We start from the raw sequence: 22,677 nt of genomic DNA on the forward strand, positions 1-22,677 counted from the left end.
TTATTTAAGCAAAGGATGAGGGAACAGTTATGCTTTAAATCATCCTGCACATGTGGCTAATATAAGCCCTTTGAAAGTAGTTTTTTGAGTCACTGAGGTATCTCCTGAGATTATCCATCCTGATGTCATAATTCTAGAATAGTTAACGGAAGCACCCTTAGAAATTCAAATGGAAATAGGATCCCATGGAAACTTAAAAAGGAAGGGAATAAGGACTTGGGTTTCAGTTTTCTTAGTGTGGAAAAATTAAAGAATATTAGAGTTGGGGCAGGTGCAGTGGCTCACGCCTGTAATCCCAGCACTTTGGGAAGCTGAGGTGGGCGGACCATGAGGTCAAGAGATCAAGACCATCCTAGCCAACATGGTGAAACCCCGTCTCTACTAAAAATACAAAAATTAGCTGGGCGTGATGGTGCGAACCTGTAGTCCCAGCTACTCAGGAGGCTGAGGCAGGAGGATTGCTTGAACCCGGGTGGCAGAGGTTGTAGTGAGCCGAGATCACGCCACTGTACTCCAGTTGGGCGACAGAGCAAGACTCTGTCTCAAAAAAAAAAAAGTATTAGAATTGGAAGAATTTTAGTAGCAATCTGGTCCAAAAAGATAAGTATAAATTGTTGTGATGTGGGGAGAAACAAAAACAACAGCATGACAGCAACTGAGACCTGTAATGATATCTACTATATTGATAAATGTGCAAGAGGATGTTGCTGGAATGGCCAGAGTCAGAGATAATTAAACTGGAAAGTGTTACAGTGTGTGATAAAGTTGAGGAGATAGTCATGCTCCCTGATGTATTTGAAGGAGTGAAGATTATGGAAGATATATCAAGCACGTTTGCTTGACTTTAGGGAAAAGATTGGAAAGTATAATATAAGTAAAGCAAATTAGTGGTGGTGGTGGAGCCTTAAAACCAAGGGGAGTGAGTTTTCAGTTGGTTGAAGCAACAGCCACAAGTCTGCATGGTTTTCCTTTTTAATTAAAACCATTATTATGGGATAGGTAAAACACAGAAGAATACAGAACACAAATTGCCTATAGCCTCTCCCTCTACCCTTATAATTTTCTTTAGAAATACAAAATTCAAGATAGATTCTACTATATGGTTGTGTGTCTTGGTATTTTCAGTTGATATTACCATCAAGCATTTTTCTCATGTGAATAAGTATTCTTTAATAGGTTTCCATGGAATGGATAGGCTGTAAATTTTTTTTTTTAGACAGGGTCTTCCTCTGTCGCCCAGGCTGGAGTGCAGTGGCCCCATCACCATCATAGCTCACTGCAGCCTTGAACTCCTGGGCTCCAGGGATCCTCTTGCCTTAGCCTTTGGAGTGGCTAGAACTACAGGCGCATGCCACCACACCCAGCTAATTTTTAAAAAAAATTTGTAGGGACGAGGTCTTGCTATGTTATTTAGGCTGGTCTCAAACTCTTAGCCTCAAGGGATCCTCCTGCCTCAGCCTCCCAAAGTGCTGGGATTCCAAGTGTGAGCCACCACACCTGGCCAGATAGGCTGTAATTTTCTTTAATCATTCCCATTTTGTATGGGAACTTTCAGTTTTTTTTTTTTTTTTTTTTTTTTTTTGTTTATGAATTACAAGGACTGGAGATTTAAGTACTGATGTGAACAAGATGCCAGTTTAAGAAAGTAGCCTTCTGTCTCTTTGTAGGCATAGATTGAAGAGCTGAGAAAACTGAAATTGTTGGTTTAGTTTTTTTATTTTGAAAGTAATGAAAAATACTTTCATTTATAGAACATTACAGAAAACGCAAAATATATAAAAATTAAAAAATTAACTACTGTTTGCTTCTGTAGTTTTTTCTCAACCCATATAATATTTATTTAGATAGCTTTAAGGATTCAACTAACTGGCAGAGGTGAACTATAATATAAAAGATTAGGGAAGAATATCTGAGAGGTGAGAAAAACAATTTTTTGAAAGGTAGTAAGATTTCTTTCCTTCAATCAACCAACAAATATGTTTGAGTCACTTTTGTACCTGCATCAAATCGTTCTGACTGCCTATTCTACATACTTTATTTCATTTTTATTTATTTAGAGACTGAGTTTCGCTGTATTGCTCAGGCTGGAGTGCAGTGGCATGATCTCAGCTCTGCAACCTCTGCCTCCCGGGTTCAAGTGATTCTCCTGGCTCAGCCTCCCAATATAGCTGGGATTACAGGGGCACGCCACCACACCTGGCAAATTTGTAAAATATTTTTAGTAGGGACGGGGTTTCACCATGTTGGCCAGGCTGGTCTCAAACTCCTGACCTCAGGTGATCCACCCACCTTGGCCTCCCAAAGTGCTGGGATTACAGGTGTGAGCTACCGCGCCTGAGCATTCTATATATTTTAGTCACTATTTTCTCCATTAGCAGTATCTCTTGCCAGTAGCTCTGCAGAGTACTTTTAATGATCATGACTAAAAATGTCAATGTACGGTTGTCTCCCCATCCATAATTTCACTTTCCACAGTTTCAGATCTGAGGTCAACTGCAGTCTGAAAATATTAAATGGAAAATTCCAGAAATAATTCATAAGCATTGAAATCTCACTGTGTCCTGTTTGGTATGCGAATCATCCCTTTGTCCAGTGCATCCATAGTATATACCCTTCCTGCCCATTAATCACTTAGCAGCCATCTTGGTTATCAGATTAAAAAAAAAAAACAGTGTATAAAGGGTTCATGACCAGTATATAAAGGGTTCGTGACTATCCATGGTTTCAGGCATCCACTGGGGGTTTTGAAACATATCCCCTGTGGAGAAGAGGGGACTACTGTACAAATAAGAGTATTGATGAGAAGAGGTTGTAACTTGTGGTTGAACGTCCCGTATACCTGTAGAAAAATTGCTTGCATACAAAGGCATACCTTAGAGATATTGTGTATTGAATTCAAACAACCACAGTGAAGCAAGTCACAAACTCCTGGTTTTTCAGTGCATATAAAAGTTATGTTTACACTATATTATTTACACTATACTGGTGTATTAAATGTGCAATAGCATTTTATCTAAAAATGTATATACCTTAATTAAAAAATACTTTATTGCTAATGCTAACAGGGAAGAAGTGAGCACATGCAGTTGGAAAAAAGATACTGATAGACTTGCTTGACACGATTGCCACAAACCTTCAATTTGTAAAAATGCAGTATTTTCAAAGTGCAGTAAAGCAATGCTCAATAAAAGAAAGTACAGTAAAATGAAGTGTGCCTGTATTTTACCTCCAGCTCCCTAGCAGTTTTCAAGGCCAGAGTGGCACTGGAGAGCTGTCATTGCATGTCTATTGAGTTCTCATCAAAGCGTATCTGTAGGTTCTTCACTAAAGGGGCTGTTCTTCAAAGAAAAAAATCTTTAGGATTAGTAAAATGTTTTTTGGTGTGTTTCAGAGAAGTCAAGATAAAGTGAGACTGTATCAAAAATATGAATGTTATATTGTGCATTGACTTGTCCAGGGTTGTCTATTAAATGTCCATAAGAGCTAAATTAAAAGGAAAATGTAGACAGGGTGGGAAGTTATAGTATTTATTTATTTTTGAGGTGGTTTAGAGTTGAGAGGGAGGTTAGGCATGTTATTGGTGTTTGCAGGATAGTACCTCCTGACCCTTCTCTTACCCCTCCAAAGAACTTTTTGAAAAAAAGGAAACTTGGTAAAACCAATTTTTTAATCAGTAATGTGATTATACAATATACAATCTATCTTCTGCCTATTTTTCAAATCTTGGACTCACCAAAAGTGAATGCTCGCCACATGCAGTGGCTCACACCTGTAATCCCAGCACTTTGGGAGGCCAAGGTGGGAGGATTGCTTGAGGCTAGGAGTTGGGAGACTGGCTTGAGCAACATAGCGAGACCCTGTTTCTACATAAACTTTTTTTAAAAAACTGAATGCTATCCAGGTTTTTTATTTTTAGTGTCTAATTTACTGTTACTCTTAAAAAGTTCACCGAAGGAGAAGTTTCAAACCCTTATCTTTTTGTTTTTTTAGAGACAGGTTCTCACTTTGGCCAGGCTGGTCTTGAACACCTGGCATCAAGCAAGCCTCCTTGCTCAGCCTCTGGAGTAGCTGGGATTACAGGCACAAGCCTCTGACAATAAATTTTTAAAAAAATCTTAAACATGTAAAGTTGCAGAAGCCAAATGGAAATGTTTGGATTCACAAGAGGCTGTGGTTTTATGTTATATTCTTCTTAATAAATGGAAATGGTTATTCAAAATGCTAAGGATATTGTTCATATTATCTTGTTACAGATGTGACATTTTAATTTGTGATATGTAGGCAAAGTAATTACTAGCTACATTAGCTGATGAGTTTATCAGGAATCACTTCAACATAGCTGGAAGTTTTTATGCTTTCTGTTTTCAGTGGACTGTGGAAAAATCAAGTTTTGTATTATGTAACACTTGCTTATGGTATAACACTTTCCAACAAATATATTCCATTTTTCCATTTTCACTAAAGAAGAATAAAAACTGCTGCCTGTAAAGAGAGTTGTTAAACCTAGTGTATCAGCTGTCTTTTATTTCATCGAATAAATTGACATTTCTAATGTTATCTTTATGATTTACTAATTAAGGATTCATAGGATTAAACAACAGTAGAGGTTTTCCAGGATTGTGTAGTGATCTAGTTCTATTAATATCTCATTAATTAGGCTGGGCATAGTAGCTCACACCTGTAATCCCAGCACATTGGGAAGCCAAGGCAGGTGTATCGTTTGAGGCCAGGAGTTCGAGACCTGCCTGGCCAACATGGCAAAACCCTGTCTCTTCTAAAAATACAAAAATTAGCCAGATGTGGTGGTGCACACCTGTAATCCCAGCTACTCAGGGGGCTGAAGCACAAGAATCGCTTGAACCCGGATGGGGAGGTAGCAGTGAGCCATAATTGCACGTCTGCACTCCAGCCTGGATGATAGAGTGAGACTGTCTCAAAAACAAAAACAAACAAACGAAAATCCCATTAATTAAAGACTAGCACATAGCCTCTTCTCTTTTGTTAAATTTTGTCTATTTTCTCCCTTCTCAGGTTAAGTTTACTGAAAGATCTAAGTATTTTGTGATACTCAATGCTGATGTGACTTAAGTACTTTACTGTCTTAACTCAGAAATCAAGATTTAGTTATTTTAAAGCACAAACTCCAAATTAAATAATCAGGAATTTCTTACTGTGTGTTAAAGAGATTGAAATGGGATTTGGTAATATGTTTTGAAAGGTCCATGTTTATCTTTTCTTAATTATGCTGCATATTCCTTAAAATTTCATACTTAATTTTTTGTTGTTGTTTTTGCCAGAGTCTCACCCTGTCTCCCAGGCTGGAGTGCAGTGGTGTGATTTCAGCTCACTGCAACCTCCACCTCCCGGGTTCAAGCGATTCTCCTGTTTCACCCTCCCAAGTAGCTGGGATTATGGGTGCATGCCACCATGCCCGGCTAATTTTTGTATTTTTAGCTGAGATGGGGTTTCACCATGTTGGCCAGGCTGATCTAGAACTCCTGACCTCAAGTGATCCGCCTGCCTCCGCCTCCCAAAATGCTGGGATTACAGGCGTGAGCCACCACGCCTGGCCTCATACTTAATTTTTTTTTTTTTGAGATGGAGTCTTGCTCTGTCACCCAGGCTGGGGCGCAGTGGCACAATCCCGGCTCACTGCAAGCTCTGCCTCCCGGGTTCACGCCGTTCTCCTGCCTCGGCCTCCCAAGTAGCTGGGACTACAGGTGCCCACCACCACGCCCGGCTAATTTTTTGTATTTTAAGTAGAGACGGGGTTTCACCATGTTAGCCAGGATAGTCTCGACCTCCTGACCTCGTGATCCGCCCACCTCGGCCTCCCAAAGTGCTGGGATTACAGGTGTGAGCCACCACACCCGGTCACAACTTAATTTTATTAATTGTACCTTTATGGGTGATTACAAAGTGTATGCATATATGTTTGTATGTAGGTATATGTATATATAGTTAATTGTAAACTTTATTAAAGCATATAATATTGCTTTATACTGTTTAAAATCATACAATAAATGAGAAAAATTTATGAAAACACCTCACCTGAGCACAGGATTGCATATTAGTTAATGTTGGCTTTTTATATTCTCAAGTCATTTTTATCTGTTTTTTTATGAAACTAAAAATCTTTTTAAATTTTAGGGGGAAAAAAATAGTGGCTTTGATGTCCTCTACCATAATATGAAACATGGACAGATATCAACAAAAGAACTAGCAGATTTTGTAAGGGAACGGTATGTATTTTTTAAATAAGTAATTTGTTTAACAACTTAATAGCAATTTAAATTTTAGAATATAAATAATGGAGAAAACTTTATTTGGATTTGGAATAAAGTAATTGTTTTAAAATATGTACTGTAATTATATCTATCTATTTGTATCTATCATCTACACAGCTGAGGGCTGTATAGTGGCTCAAAGTGGCTCAAAGTTTAATACCCCTGGTTTGTGGATTCCTTCTTGAAAATATTATCTACATATTTTTCACTGGATATGCTAGCAAGGTGATATAATACAGTTGAGAAGTTTGTAGGATAAAACATTAACATTTGTTAACCATGCTAAAATAATTAGAAAAGACTAACTTTTCTGAACTTCAGTTTAATTTTGTGTTTTTGTAACTTTTATTTTTAAAAGTCCTAAGTATATATTTTAAAATCTTGCAAATTTATAAAATGTGATTGTTGTTAAGACTCTTAGAATATAGCGAATTTAAAAGCTATTAAGAATAAATATAATTTGATTATGATTCAAAATCAAACAACTCAAAAGCTGCTATCCTACTAACTTAAAGCTATTTTGTGGCTACCCCAACTTTGTAATTATTTATATGAACACATTTAAAATCTTTACCTTGATAATATAGGGATACTTTGGCTTTAAATTTAATACTCCATTTATTCATGTATTCTTTCAACAATGTATATCCCATCAGTGCTGTGTACCAGCTACTTGTCTGGATTATGGGAATATAGTGGTTAAGATAACAGCTTCTCCCTTCATGGAGTTTACAGACTGATAGGAATTGGGGAATAAACTATTCTATAAGTTCGGTTCTTTTCTTACTCCCTCCTCTCTACTGGAATCAACAAGGAATGCAAAAGCTCAAGTGCTCTGGGTAAGGCTCTCCTTCCTCCGGGCTTCTACATTATCATTGGCAGGAGCAAAGGAAAGGCCGCAGAACTCTGCATCTCTTGGCATGTTCCTTAGCCTTCCCTCTTCCCCTACACTTCACTACTATCACTGTCTACTTTGCAACCATCAGGGCAGATATTATGCCTTTGAGCCCTGTTTATGTTAGTCACCTTAAGAAGTCCAGGACTCCTGGGTTATCCTTCCTTTGCCCAGAATCTATCCCTTTCTGATTCTTTGGGTAGTGAGACAATCCGTCATACTTCCCCTTTACTACTTTATTTTTCTCCATAGTATGTATAACTGTCTGATAAAAGTGATATTTCATTTATTTATTTTTCTGTCTCTTCCCACTAGAATATAAACCCAACAAGGGCAGGGATTTTTGTCTTTTTTTGCTTATTTTGTCTTTTTGCTCTATTTATGCACTTGTGATAGTGCTTGTCACTTGGTAGGCCCTCAGTAAAGGTTTTTCCATAGAATGAATCTGTAACTTCATTATGCTGATCCCAGCTATCATTATTTTTGCCTGAACTTCAGCAGTAGCTCGTAACTGCTCTATCTACAGTTGTTCTTGTTTTCCTGCAACTTACTCTGTCTACTGTAGTTGGAGTGGTTTTTTTGAAATATAGTACAGATCAGTTGTTACCTCTTCTCTTTCAGCCATCTCAAGGGCTTCCCATTGCTCTTAAGATAGGCCTGCATATTCTGACCCTAAAACTACCTTTCAGGTCTTATTGTTCTAGGCTCTATGCTAGGCATGGGATACAACAGAATATTGTCTCACAGGAGAACATAGAAACAATTAACAAAAATGAGTAATAACAAAACTGCATACATAGTACAAAGAGATACATGAATTACAGGCTGCTCCTTATTCTTTCCACTCCAGAGATACTGGGTATCTTATAGACAGGCTTCCTCTGTCTAGTCCAGGCTTTGTAAATACTTATTCTTCTCTTCACCTAGTTAATGCCTACTTATTCTTTTTTTTTTTTATTTAGAACTTTAATTTCCATTCAAAAGAAGTAAAATATAAATTCAATAAGTTGGTTAAAATATTCCTAAAATGACTCCACATTTATATTTTATCCCTCTGAATTACATGTCAAAATCCTATCTTTTTCACAGGGTATCAGTCTCTGGACCATCAAGATCATCAATAATGCAGCATTTCTTTTTATTTTTCTTTCTTTTTCTTTTTTTTTATTTTTTATTTTTTATTATTATACTTTAAGTTTTAGGGTACACGTGCACAATGTGCAGGTTAGTTACATATGTATACATGTGCCGTGCTGGTGCGCTGCACCCACTAACTCGTCATCTAGCATTAGGTATATCTCCCAATGCTATCCCTCTCCCCTCCCCGCAACCCACAACAGTCCCCAGAGTGTGATGTTCCCCTTCCTGTGTCCATGTGTTCTCATTGTTCAATTCCCACCTATGAGTGAGAATATGCGGTGTTTGGTTTTTTGTTCTTGTGATAGTTTACTGAGAATGATGATTTCCAGTTTCATCCATGTCCCTACAAAGGACATGAACTCATCATTTTTTATGGCTGCATAGTATTCCATGGTGTATATGTGCCACATTTTCTTAATCCAGTCTATGATTGTTGGACATTTGGGTTGGTTCCAAGTCTTTGCTATTGTGAATAATGCCGCAATAAACATACATATGCATGTGTCTTTATAGCAGCATGATTTATAGTCCTTTGGGTATATACCCAGTAATGGGATGGCTGGGTCAAATGGTATTTCTAGTTCTAGATCCCTGAGGAATCGCCACACTGACTTCCACAGTGGTTGAACTAGTTTACAGTCCCACCAACAGTGTAAAAGTGTTCCTATTTCTCCACATCCTCTCCAGCACCTGTTGTTTCCTGACTTTTTAATGATTGCCATTCTAACTGGTGTGAGATGGTATCTCATTGTGGTTTTGATTTGCATTTATCTGATGGCCAGCGATGGTGAGCATTTTTTCATGTGTTTTTTGGCTGCATAAATGTCTTCTTTTGAGAAGTATCTGTTCATGTCCTTCGCCCACTTTTGGATGGGGTTGTTTGTTTTTTTCTTGTAAATTTGTTTGAGTTCATTGTAGATTCTGGATATTAGCCCTTTGTCAGATGAGTAGGTTGTGAAAATTTTCTCCCATTTTGTAGGTTGCCTGTTCACTCTAATGGTAGTTTCTTTTGCTGTGCAGAAGCTCTTGAGTTTAATTAGTCCCATTTGTCAATTTTGGCTTTTGTTGCCATTGCTTTTGGTGTTTTAGACATGAAGTCCTTGCCCATGCCTATGTCCTGAATAGTAATGCCTAGGTTTTCTTCTAGGGTTTTTATGGTTTTAGGTCGAACATTTAAGTCTTTAATCCATCGTGAATTGATTTTTGTATAAGGTGTAAGGAAGGGATCCAGTTTCAGCTTTCTACATATGGCTAGCCAGTTTTCCCAGCACCATTTATTAAATAGGGAATCCTTTCCCCATTGCTTGTTTTTCTCAGGTTTGTCAAAGATCAGATAGTTGTAGATATGTGGCATTATTTCTGAGGGCTCTGTTCTGTTCCATTGATCTATATCTCTGTTTTGGTAGCAGTACCATGCTGTTTTGGTTACTGTAGCCTTGTAGTATAGTTTGAAGTCAGGTAGTGTGATGCCTCCACCTTTGTTCTTTTGGCTTAGGATTGACTTGGCGATGCGGGCTCTTTTTTGGTTCCATATGAACTTTAAAGTAGTTTTTTCCAATTCTGTGAAGAAAGTCATTAGTAGCTTGATGGGGATGGCATTGAATCTGTAAATTACCTTGGGCAGTATGGCCATTTTCACGATATTGATTCTTCCTACCCATGAGCATGGAATGTTCTTCCATTTGTTTGTATCCTCTTTTATTTCCTTGAGCAGTGGTTTGTAGTTCTCCTTGAAGAGGTCCTTCCCATCCCTTGTAAGTTGGATTCCTAGGTATCTTATTCTCTTTGAAGCAATTGTGAGTGGGAGTTCACTCATGATTTGGCTCTCTGTTTGTCTGTTGTTGGTGTATAAGAATGCTTGTGATTTTTGTACATTGATTTTGTATCCTGAGACTTTGCTGAAGTTGCTTATCAGCTTGAGGAGATTTTGGGCTGAGACAATGGGGTTTTCTAGATATACAATCATGCCATCTGCAAACAAGGACAATTTGACTTCCTCTTTTCCTAGTTGAATGCCCTTTATTTCCTTCTCCTGCCTAATTGCCCTGGCTAGAACTTCCAACACTATGTTGACTAGGAGTGGTGAGAGAGGGCATCCCTGTCTTGTGCCAGTTTTCAAAGGGAATGCTTCCAGTTTTTGCCCATTCAGTATGATATTGGCTGTGGGTTTGTCATAGATAGCTCTTATTATTTTGAAATACGTCCCATCAATGCCTAATTTATTGAGAGTTTTTAGCATGAAGGGCTGTTGAATTTTGTCAAAGGCCTTTTCTGCATGTATTGAGATAATCATGTGGTTTTTGTCTTTTGTTCTGTTTATATGCTGGATTACATTTATTGATTTGCGTATATTGAACCAGCCTTGCATCCCAGGGATGAAGCCCACTTGATCATGGTGGATAAGCTTTTTGATGTGTTGCTGGATTCGGTTTGCCAGTATTTTATTGAGGATTTTTGCATCAATGTTCATCAAGGCTATTGGTCTAAAATTCTCTTTTTTGGTTGTGTCTCTGCCCAGCTTTGGTATCAGGATGATGCTGGCCTCATAAAATGAGTTAGGGAGGATTCCCTCTTTTTCTATTGATTGGAATAGTTTCAGAAGGAATGGTACCAGTTCCTCCTTGTACCTCTGGTAGAATTTGGCTGTGAATCCATCTGGTCCTGTACTCTTTTTGGTTGGTAAGCTATTGAATATTGCCACAATTTCAGATCCTGTTATTGGTCTATTCAGAGATTCAACTTCTTCCTGGTTTAGTCTTGGGAGAGTGTATGTGTTGAGGAATTTATCCATTTCTTCTAGATTTTCTAGTTTATTTGCGTAGAGGTGTTGGTAGTATTCTCTGATGGTAGTTTGTATTTCTGTGGGATCGGTGGTGATATCCCCTTTATCATTTTTTATTGCGTCTATTTGATTCTTCTCTCTTTTTTTCTTTATTAGTCTTGCTAGTGGTCTATCAATTTTGTTGATCCTTTCAAAAAACCAGCTCCTGGATTCATTAATTTTTTGAAGGGTTTTTTGTGTCTCTATTTCCTTCAGTTCTGCTCTGATTTTAGTTATTTCTTGCCTTCTGCTAGCTTTCGAATGTGTTTGCTCTTGCTTTTCTAGTTCTTTTAATTGTGATGTTAGGGTGTCAATTTTGGATCTTTCCTGCTTTCTCTTGTGGGCATGTAGTGCTATAAATTTCCCTCTACACACTGCTTTGAATGCGTCCCAGAGATTCTGGTATGTTGTGTCTTTGTTCTCGTTGGTTTCAAAGAACATCTTTATTTCTGCCTTCATTTCGTTATGTACCCAGTAGTCATTCAGGAGCAGGTTGTTCAGTTTCTATGTAGTTGAGCGGTTTTGAGTGAGATTCTTAATCCTGAGTTCTAGTTTGATTGCACTGTGGTCTGAGAGATAGTTTGTTATAATTTCTGTTCTTTTACATTTGCTGAGGAGAGCTTTACTTCCAAGTATGTGGTCAGTTTTGGAATAGGTGTGGTGTGGTGCTGAAAAAAATGTATATTCTGTTGATTTGGGGTGGAGAGTTCTGTAGATGTCTATTAGGTCCACTTGGTGCAGAGCTGAGTTCAATTCCTGGGTATCCTTGTTGACTTTCTGTCTCGTTGATCTTTCTAATGTTGACAGTGGGGTGTTAAAGTCTCCCATTATTAATGTGTGGGAGTCTAAGTCTCTTTGTAGGTCACTCAGGACTTGCTTTATGAATCTGGGTGCTCCTGTATTGGGTGCATATATATTTAGGATAGTTAACTCTTCTTGTTGAATTGATCCCTTTACTATTATGTAATGGCCTTCTTTGTCTCTTTTGATCTTTGTTGGTTTAAAGTCTGTTTTATCAGAGACTAAGATTGCAACCCCTGCCTTTTTTTGTTTTCCATTTGCTTGGTAGATCTTCCTCCATCCCTTTATTTTGAGCCTATGTGTGTCTCTGCATGTGAGATGGGTTTCCTGAATACAGCACACTGATGGGTCTTGACTCTTTATCGAGTTTGCCAGTCTGTGTCTTTTAATTGGAGCATTTAGTCCATTTACATTTAAAGTTAATGTTGTTATGTGTGAATTTGATCCTGTCATTATGATGTTAGCTGGTGATTTTGCTCGTTAGTTGATGCAGTTTCTTCCTAGTCTTGATGGTCTTTACATTTTGGCATGATTTTGCAGCGGCTGGTACTGGTTGTTCCTTTCCATGTTTAGCGCTTCCTTCGGGAGCTCTTGTAGGGCAGGCCTGCTGGTGACAAAATCTCTCAGCATTTGCTTGTCTGTAAAGTATTTTATTTCTCCTTCACTTATGAAGCTTAGTTTGACTGGATATGAAATTCGGGGTTGAAAATTCTTTTCTTTAAGAATGTTGAATATTGAATGCCTACTTATTCTTTAGAGCTCAGCAAAGTGGTCACTGCTCTAAGGATGCCTTTCCTAATCTCTCTGACTAGGTCAAAAACACCTAATATAATCTTTTGTTACATCACCTATCTCTTTGTAGTATTTATAAAATTTGGTAATTATTTATTTTTATTTGTTTTTATGTTCCTCTGTGAAACAGTATTTGTTTGTATCCCAGTGGCTAGCACAAAGCCTGGAACAATAGGATAATCATATTTCTTGAAGGACCCAATGAGAAAGGAAAAAACGTAAACTTTGTATACATTATCTGATTGATTGATTGATTGATTTGAGACAGGGTCTAGCTCTGTCACCCAGGCTGGAGTGCAGTGGCTCAGTCAATGCTCACTGTAACTTCTGCCCCCTGGATTCAAGCGATTCTTGTGCCTCAGCCTCCCAAGTAGCTGGGATTATAGCCCTGCGCCATCATGTTCGGCTGATTTTTGTATTATTCTTTTTTTTTTGAGACAGAGTCTCGCTCTGTTACCCAGCCCAGGCTGGAGTGCAGAGGTGCGATCATGGCTAACTGCAACCTCCCTGTCCTAAGTTCAAGCAATTCTTGTGCCTCAGCCTCTTGAGTAGCTGGGACCACAGGCATGCACCACCATGCCTGGCTAATTTTTGTATTTTTTATAGAGACGGGGTTTTGCCATGTCAGCCAGGCTGGTCTGGAACTCCTGACCTCAGGTGATCCACCCATCTCGGCCTCCCAGTGTGTTGGGATTACAGGCATGAGCCACTGTGCCTGGCCAGGCTCATTTCATTTTAGTGCTGAATAATATTTTGTTGTCTGGATGTACTACATTTTATCCACTGACTTACTCAGGGACATCTTGGTTGCTTCCAAGTTTTGGCAATTATGAATACAGCTGCAGTAAACATCTGTGTGCAGGTTTTCGTGTGAACATAAGTTTTAATTTAATTAATTAAAATTTAAATACCAAGGAACGCAGTTACTTGATTATATGGAAAGAATATGTTTAATTTTGTAAGAAACCCATCTTCCAAAGTGACAATACCATTTTGCATTTTAACTAGCAATGAATTAGAGTTCTTATTGCCCCACATCCTTGCCAGCATTTGGAGTGGTCAGTATTCTAGATTTTGGCTGTTCCAATAAGTATATAGTGGTATCTTATCATTGTTTTAATTAGCATTTTCCTGATGACATATGATGTGGAGCATCTTTGCTTTTAATTTTTTTTTGTAGAGGCAAGGTCTTGCTATGTTTCCCAGGCTAGTCTCGAACTCCTGGCCTCAAGTGATCCTCCTTGCCCAGCCTTGCAAAGTGCTGAGATTATAGGTGTGAGCCACTGCACCTGGCTTTTTTGTTGTTGTCAAGATGTGGTCTCAGCATGTTGCCCAGGCTGGTCTTGAACTCCTGGTCTCAAGCAGTCCTCCCGCCACAGTCTCCCAAAGCTCTGCGATTACAGGAGGGAACCAGCACACCTTTCCTCCATCTTTTCATATGCTTATTTGCCAGCTGTGTATCTTCTTTAGTGAGGTATCTGTTAAGGTCTTTGGCTCATTTTTGTTTTTAATATGGTTGTTTGTGTTCTTACTATTTTTTTTAAAATTTTTTTATTATACTTTAAGCCCTGGGATATAGGTGCGAACGTGCAGGGTTGTTACATAGGTATACATGTGCCATGGTGGTTTGCTGCACCCATGAACCTGTCATCCACATTAGGTCTTTCTCCTAATGCTATCCCTCCCCCAGCCCCCCAGCCCCCAACCCCCAAACAGGCCCTGGTGTGTGATGTTCCCCTCCCTGTGTCCATGTGTTCTCATTGTTTAACTCCCACTAATGAGTGAGGACATGTGGTGTTTGGTTTTCTGTTCTTGTGTTTGCTGAGAATGATACTTTCCAGCTTCAACCATATCCCTGCAAAGGACATGAACTCATGCTTTTTTATGGCTGCGTAGATTCCATGGTGTATATGTGCCACATTTTCTTTATCCAGTCTGTGATTGATGTGCATTTGGGTTGGTTCCAAGTCTTTGCTATTGTGAACAGTGCTGCAATAAACATATGTGTGCATGTGTCTTTATAGTAGAATGATTTATAATCCTTTGGGTATATAGCCAGTAATGGGATTGCTGGGTCAAATGATATTTCTGGTTCTAGATCCTTGAGGAATTGCCACACTGTCTTCCACAATGGTTGAACTAATTTACACTCCCACCAGCAGTGTAAAAGCATTCCTGTTTCTCCACATTCTCTCCAGCATCTGTTGTTTCCTGACTTTTTAATGATGGGCATTCTGACTGTCATGAGATGGTATCTCATTGTGGTTTTGATTTGCATTTCTCTAATGACCAGTGATGATGAGCATTTTCTCTTATGTTCGTTGGCTGCATAAATGTCTTCTTTTGAGAAGTGTCTGTTCATATACTTTGCCCACTTTTTGATGGGGTTGTTTTTTTCTTGTAAATTTAAGTTCTTTGTGGATTCTGGATATTAGCCCTTTGTCAGATGGATAGGTTGTAAAAATTTTCTCCCATTCTGTAGGTTGCCTGTTCACTCTGATGATAGTTTCTTTTGCTGTGCAGAAGCTCTTTAGTTTAATTAGATCCCATTTGTTAATTCTGGCTTTTGTTGCCATTGCTTGTGGTGTTTTAGTCATGAAGTCTTTGCCTATGCCTATGTTCTGAATGGAATTGCTTAGGTTTTCTTCTAGGGTTTTTATGGTTTTAGGTCTTACGTTGAAGTGTTTAGCCCATCTTGAGTTAATTTTTTGTATAAGGTGTAAGGAAGGGGTCCAGTTTCAGTTTTCTGCATATGGTTAGCCAGTTTTCCCAACACCATTTATTAAATAGGGAATCTTTTCCCATTGCTTGTTTTTGTCAGGTTTGTCGAAGATCAGATGGTTGTAGATTTGTGGTGTTATTTTTGAGGACTCTCTTCTGTTCCATTGGTCTATATCTCTGTTTTGGTACCAGTACCATGCTGTTTTGGTTACTGAAGCATTGTAGTGTAGTTTGAAGTGATGCCTCCAGCTTTGTTCTTTTTGCCTAGGATTGTCTTGGCTATACAGGCTGTTTTTTGGTTCCATATGAAATTCAAAGTAGTTTTTTCTAATTCTGTGAAGAAAGTCAATGATTGCTTGATGAGGATAGCATTGAATCTATAAATTACTTTGGGCAGTATGGCCATTTTCACAATATGATTCTTCCTATGCATGAGCATGGAATGTTTTTCCATTTGTTTGTGTCCTCTATTATTTCCTTTAGCAGTGGTTCATAGTTCTCCTTGAAGAGGTTCTTCACATCTCTTGTAAGTTGTATTTCTAGGTATTTTATTCTTTTTGTGGCAATTGTGAATGGGAGTTCACTCATGATTTAGCTCTCTGTTTGTCTATTATTGGTGTATAGGAATGCTTGTGATTTTTGCACATTGATTTTGTATCCTGAGAATTTACTGAAGTTGCTTACCAGCTTAAGGAGATTTTGGGCTGAGACGATGGGGTTTTCTAAATATACAATCATGTCATCTTCAAACAGAGACAATTTGACATCCCCTTTTCCTATTTGAATACCCTTTATTTTTTTCTCTTTCCTGATTGCCCTGGCTAGAACTTCCAATACTATGTTGAATAAGAGTGGTGAGAGAGGGCATCCTTGTTTTGTGATGGATTTCAAAGGGAATGCTTCCAGTTATTGCCCATTCAGTATGATATTGGCTGTGGGTTTGTCATAAATAGCTCTTATTGTTTTGAGATACATTCCACCAATACCTAGTTTATTGAGCGTTTTTTGCGTGAAGTGGTGCTGAATTTTGTTGAAGGCCTTTTCTGCATGTATTGAGATAATCATGTGGTTTTTGTCATTGATTCTGTTTATGTGATGGATTACATTTATTGATTTGCGTATGTTGAACCAGCCTTGCATCCCAGGGATGAAGCTGAGTTGATAGTGGTGGATAAGCTTTTTGATGTGTTGCTGGATTCGGTTTGCCTGTATTTTATTGAGGATTTTCGCACTGATGTTCATCAGAGATATTGGCCTGAAATTTTCTTTTGTGTGTGTGTGTCTTTGCCAGGTTTTGATATTAGGATGATGCTGGCCTCATAAAATGAGTTAGGGAGGAGTCCCTCTTTTTCTATTGTTTGGAATAGTTTCAGAATGAATGGTACCAGCTCCTCTTTGTACCTCTGGTAGATTTTGGCTGTGAATCCGTCTTGTCCTGAGCTGTTTTTGGTTGGTAGGCTATTAATTACTGCCTCAATTTCAGAGCTTGTTATCGATCTGTCCAGGGATTCTACCTCTTCCTGGTTTAGACCTGGGAGGGTGTATGTGTATGTGTCCAGGAATTTATCAATTTCTTTTTTTTTTTTTTTTTTTTTTTTTTTTTTTGAGACGGAGTCTCGCTCTGTCGCCCAGGCTGGAGTGCAGTGGCGCGATCTCGGCTCACTGCAAGCTCCGCCTCCCGGGTTCACGCCATTCTCCTGCCTCAGCCTCCCGAGTAGCTGGGACTACAGGCGCCCGCTACCACGCCCGGCTAATTTTTTGTATTTTTAGTAGAGACGGGGTTTCACCGTGTTAGCCAGGATGGTCTCGATCTCCTGACCTCGTGATCCGCCCGCCTCGGCCTCCCAAAGTGCTGGGATTACAGGCGTGAGCCACCGCGCCCGGCCGAATTTATCAATTTCTAATAGATTTTCTAGTTTATTTGCATAGTGGTGTTTCTAGTATTCTCTGATGGTAGTTTGTAATTCTATTGGATCAGTGGTGATATCCCCTTTATCATTTTTTATTGTGTCTATTTGATTCTTCTCTCTTTTCTTGTTTGTTATTCTGGCTAGCGGTCTATCTATTTTGTTGATCTTTTCAAAAAACCAGCTCCTGGATTCATTGATTTTTTTGAACGCTGTTTCATGTCTCTATCTCCTTCAGTTCTGCTCTGATCTTAGTTATTTCTTGTCTTCTGCTAGCTTTTGAATTTGTTTGCTCTTGCTTCTCTAGTTCTTTTAATTGTGATGTTAGGGTGTCAATTTTAGATCTTTCCTGCTTTCTCTTGTGGGCATTTAGTGCTATAAATTTCCCTCTAAACACTGTTTCAGCTGTGTCCCAGAGATCCTGGTATGTTGTGTCTTTGTTCTCATTGGTTTCAAAGAACTTACTTATTTCTGCCTTCATTTCGTTATGTACCCAGTAGTCATTCAGGAGCAGGTTGTTCAGTTTCCGTGTAGTTGTGCAGTTTTCAGTGAGTTTCTTATTCCTGAGTTCTAATTTGGTTGCACTGTGGTCTGAGAGACTGTTTGTTATGATTTCCGTTCTTTTGCATTTGCTGAGGAGTGTTTTACTTCCAATTATGTGGTCAGTTTTAGAATAAGTGTGATGTGGTGCTGAGAAGAATGTATATTCTGTTGATTTTGCGGGGAGGGTTCTGTAGATGTCTATTAGGTCTGCTTGGTCCAGAGCTGAGTTCAATTCCTGAATATCTTTGTTAATTTTCTCTCTTGTTTACCTGTCTAATATTGACAGCGGGGTGTTAAAGTCTCCCACTATTATTGTGTGGGAGTCTAATTCTTTTTGTAGGTCTCAAAGAACTTGCTTTATGAATCTGGGTGCTCCTGTATTAGGTGCATATATATTTAGGATAGTTAGCTCATCTTGATGCATTGATACCTTTACTGTTATGTAATGGCCTTTGTCTCTTTTGATCTTTCTTGATTTAAAGTCTGTTTTATCGAAGACTAGGATTGCAACCCCTGCTTTTTTTTGCTTTCCATTTGCTTGGTAAATATTCCTCCATCCCTTTATTTTGTGCTTATGTGTGTCTTTGCATGTGAGATGGGTGTCCTGAATACAGCACACCAGTGAGTCTTGACTCTTCATCCAATTTGCGAGTCTTTGTCTTTTAATTGGGGCATTTAGCCTGTTTACATTTAAGGTTAATATTGTTATGTGTGAATTTGCTCCTGTCATTATGATGCTAGCTGGTTATTTTGCCCATTAGTTGGTACAGTTTCTTCATAATGTCGGTGGTCTTTACAATTTGGTATGTTTTTGCAGTTGCTGGTGTTGGTTGTTTCTTTCCATGTTTAGTGTTTCCTTCAGGAGCTCTTGTAAGACTGGCCTGGTGGTGATGAAATCTCTCAGCATTTGCTTGTCTGTAAAGGATTTTATTTCTCCTTTGTTTATGAAGCTTTGTTTGGCTAGACATGAAATTCTGGGTTGAAAAGTCTTCTCTTTAAGAATGTTGAAAATTGGCCCCCACTGTCTTCTGGCTTGTAGGGTTTCTGCAGAGATATCCACTGTTAGTCTGATAGGCTTCCCTTTGTGGGTAACCCGACCTTTCTCTCTGGCTGCCCTTAACATTTTTTCCTTCATTTCAACCTTGGTGAATCTGACAATTACGTGTCTTGGGGTTGCTCTTCTCGAGGAGTATCTTTGTGGTGTTCTCTATATTTCCTGAATTTGAATGTTGGCCTGTCTTGCTAGGTTGGGGAAGTTCTCCTGGATGATATCCTGAAGAGTGTTTTCCAACTTGGTTCCATTCTCCCCATCACTTTCAGGTACACCAATCAAATGTAGGTTTCGTGGTTTCACATAGTCCCATATTTCTTGGAGGCTTTGTTTGTTCCTTTTCATTCTTTTTTCTCTAATTCTTGTCTTCATGCTTTATTTCATTAAGTTGATCTTCAGTCTATGATATCCTTTCTTCCACTTGATCGATTTGGCTATTGATACTTGTGTATGCTTCACAAAGTTCTCATGCTGTGTTTTTCATCTCCATCAGGTCATCTATGTTCTTCTCTAAACTGGTTATTCTAGTTAGCAATTCGTCTAACCTTTTTTCAAGGTACTTAGCTTCCTTGCATTTGGTTAGAACATGCTCCTTTAGCTTAGGGGAGTTTGTTATTACCCACCTTCTGAAGCCTACTTCTGTCAGTTTGTCAAACTCATTCTCCATCCAGTTTTGTTCTCTTGCTGGTGAGGAGTTGTGGTCCTTTGTGCTTGAAACCCAGGGCCCTGGTGGTGTAGGCACCCGAGGGAATCTCCTGGTCTGCGGGTTGCAAAGACTGTGGGAAAAGCGTAGTATCTGGGCTGGAATGCACCATTCCTCACAGCACAGTCCCTCATGCCTTCCCTTGGCTAGGGGAGAGAGTTCCTGACCCCTTGTGCTTCCTGGATAGGGTGATGCCCCGTCCTGCTTCTGCTCGCTCTCTGTGGGCTGCACCCACTGTCTAACTAGCCCCAGTGAGATGAGCCGGGTACCTCAGTTAGAAATGCTGAAATCACCTGCCTTCTGCATTGATCTCACTGGGAGCTGCAGACTGGAGCTGTTCCTATTCAGCCATCTTGCCAGCTGCCCCCTTATTGGGTTTTAAGAGTTCTTTATATATTTTGGATAATGGTCTTTTATCAGATGTGTCATTTGCAAATATTTTCTCACAGTCTGATTTGTTTTCTCATTCTTTTGAATTTGTCTTTCAAAGAACAAAAGTATTTAATTTTAAGAAAGTCCAACATATCCATTATTTATTTTATGGATTTTGGGTTTGGAATACCTTTAGGTATTGGAATGCCTTTAGATATTGTGTCTAAAAAGTCATCACCATAGCCAAGGTCTGGTGTATTGGAGTGCCTTTAGATATTGGAATGCGTTTAGATACTGTTCTAAAAAGTCGTCACCATACCCAATGTTGTCTAGGTTTTCTCCTATGTTATCTTCTAGGGGTTTTGTAGTTTTATGTTTTACATTTAGGTCTGTAATACATTTTGAGTTAATTTTTGTGAAGGGTGTAAGGTCTGTGTCTGGATTCATTTTTTTTTTTTTTTTTTTTGCATATAGGTGTCCAGTTGTTCCAGTACCATTTATTGAAAATACTATCTTTGTTCCATCGTATTGCATTTGTTCCTTTTTTTTTTCAGACAGAGTATCTCTCTGTCGCCGAGGCTGGAGTGCAGTGGCGCGATCTCTGCTCACCGCAAGCTCCGCTTCCCGGGTTCATGCCATTTTCCTGCCTCAGCCTCCCGAGTAGCTGGGACTACAGGCACCCGCCACCACACCCGGCTAATTTTTGTATTTTTAGTAGAGACGGGGTTTCATCATGTTATCCAGGATGGTCTCGATCTCTTGACCTCAGGTGATCGGCCAGCCTCAGCCTCCCAAAGTGCTGGGATTACAGGTGTGAGCCACCATGCCCGGCCTTTTTAAAATACTTTTAAGTTCCGGGATACATGTGCAGAATGTGCAGGTTTGTTCCATAGGTATACATGTGCCGTGGTGGTTTGCTACACCCATCAACCTGTCATCTACATATCTACATTAGGTATTTCTCCTAATGCTATCCCTCCCCTAGCTTTATTTTTTTATTTTTATTTATTTATTTTTTTTGAGACAGTGTCTTGTTCTGTCACTCAGGCTGGAGTGCAGTGCAGCCTCCACGTCTTGGGCTCAATCAATTCTTCTGCCTCAGCCTACTGAATAGTTGGGACTATACATATGTGGCACCATGCCCAGTGTCTTTCAAAGTGACAATACTTTTTTTTTTTTTTTTTTTTTTGGAGAGACAAGGTTTCACCATGTTGCCTAGACTGGTCTCAAACTCCTGTGCTCAAATGATCTGCCCACCTCTGCATCCCAAAGTGCCGGGATTTTACAAGCATGAGCCACTGTGCCCCACCTGATTTATTGTAGCTTCATAATAAGTCTTGAAGTTGGGTAGTATCAGTCTTCCAACTTTGTTCTGCTCCTTCAGTATTTTTTTGGCTCTTCTAGATCTTTTGCTGTTTTCGGTTTTTTTTCTATTACCAAGTAATGTTGCCTTGAATAGTTTTGCACATATGTCCTGGTATGCATATATATATATATACATTTATATTGGGTATATACTCTGGAGTAGAATTGTGAGGCCATAAGGTATACGTGTGTTCAACTCGAGTGACTAATAGCAAAGAATTTTCCAAGGTGGTTGTATCAGTTTACACCACCTTCCATCCTTATTTGAGAGTTCCAGTTGCTTTATGTTCTCATCAATTCTTGGTATCGTCAGTTTTTTAATTTTAGCTTGCTAATAGTAGTATCTATCTTATTGTGACCTTAATTTGCATTTCTCTGGTGAATAATGGGATGATATATTTTTCTTTTTCTCTCCTCACAACTTGTCATTTATGTGAATTATTGAAATTTGTGTGTTAAATCAACTTCCCATTCTTGGTCTAAACACAATTTGGTGGGAATGTAGTTGATCATTTTATGTGTTAGTGGATCAATTTGCTGCTATTTTATATGCAATTTTTACATCTATACTTGTGAGTGAGATTGGCCTGAACATTTTCTTTCTCTAAGTGTACTTGTTAGGTTTTGGTATCAAAGTTTGTTGGCTTCATAAAATGAATTGGGGAGTATATCCTATTGTTGTATTTTCTGGAAAAATTTTTGAAAGATTATTGTTTTTTCCTTATGTGCTTAATAGAATTTTCTGGTAAAGCCCTCTGGGCTTGAAACTGTCTTTATAGGAAAGTTTTAAATTACATATTTAATTTCTTTAATCATTATAGGACCATTCACATTTTTTAGTTCTGTGAGTTTGAAAAGTTATGTTTTTCTATGAATGTCTTAATTTTATCCACACTTTAAGGTTTGTTGCAAAAATTTATTATTATTATTATTTTTGAGACAGGGTCTCACTGTCATCCAGGCTGCAGCCTTGACCTCCTGGTCTCAAATGATCCTCCCACTCCAGCCTCCCAAGTAGCTGGGGCTATAGGGATGCACCACCATGCCCAGCTAATTTTTGTATTTTTTTTTGTAGAGATGAGGGTTCACCAGGTTGCCCAGGCTGGTCTCAAACACCAGAGCTCAAGCGATCCTTCTGCCTCGGCCTCCCAAAGAGTCGGGATTACAGGCATGAGCTGTTGCACCTGTCCTAATTTCTATATGTTACACTTGGTTGATATGCCTTTTGAGTCTCTTAATCTATAGCCACCCACCTCCTTACCTTTTGTTGTTGAAGAAA

General features: G+C 38.9%; 1 protein-coding gene across 9 annotated transcripts in view; it reads left to right on the top strand.

Moving 5' to 3' along the window:
• FCHO2 (FCH and mu domain containing endocytic adaptor 2) overlaps positions 1-22,677 on the top strand; it is a 134,482-nt gene that overhangs the window by 6,307 nt on the left and 105,498 nt on the right. For all 9 annotated transcript variants that reach the window (NM_138782.3, NM_001146032.2, XM_017009016.3 and 6 more), the window contains exon 2: positions 6,151-6,242. In NM_138782.3, the coding sequence (NP_620137.2) occupies positions 6,151-6,242 (92 nt within the window). The remainder of the gene's footprint in view (positions 1-6,150; positions 6,243-22,677) is intronic.

Source organism: Homo sapiens, chromosome 5 (assembly GCF_000001405.40).
Source record: "Homo sapiens chromosome 5, GRCh38.p14 Primary Assembly".
Lineage (NCBI taxonomy): Eukaryota > Metazoa > Chordata > Mammalia > Primates > Hominidae > Homo > Homo sapiens.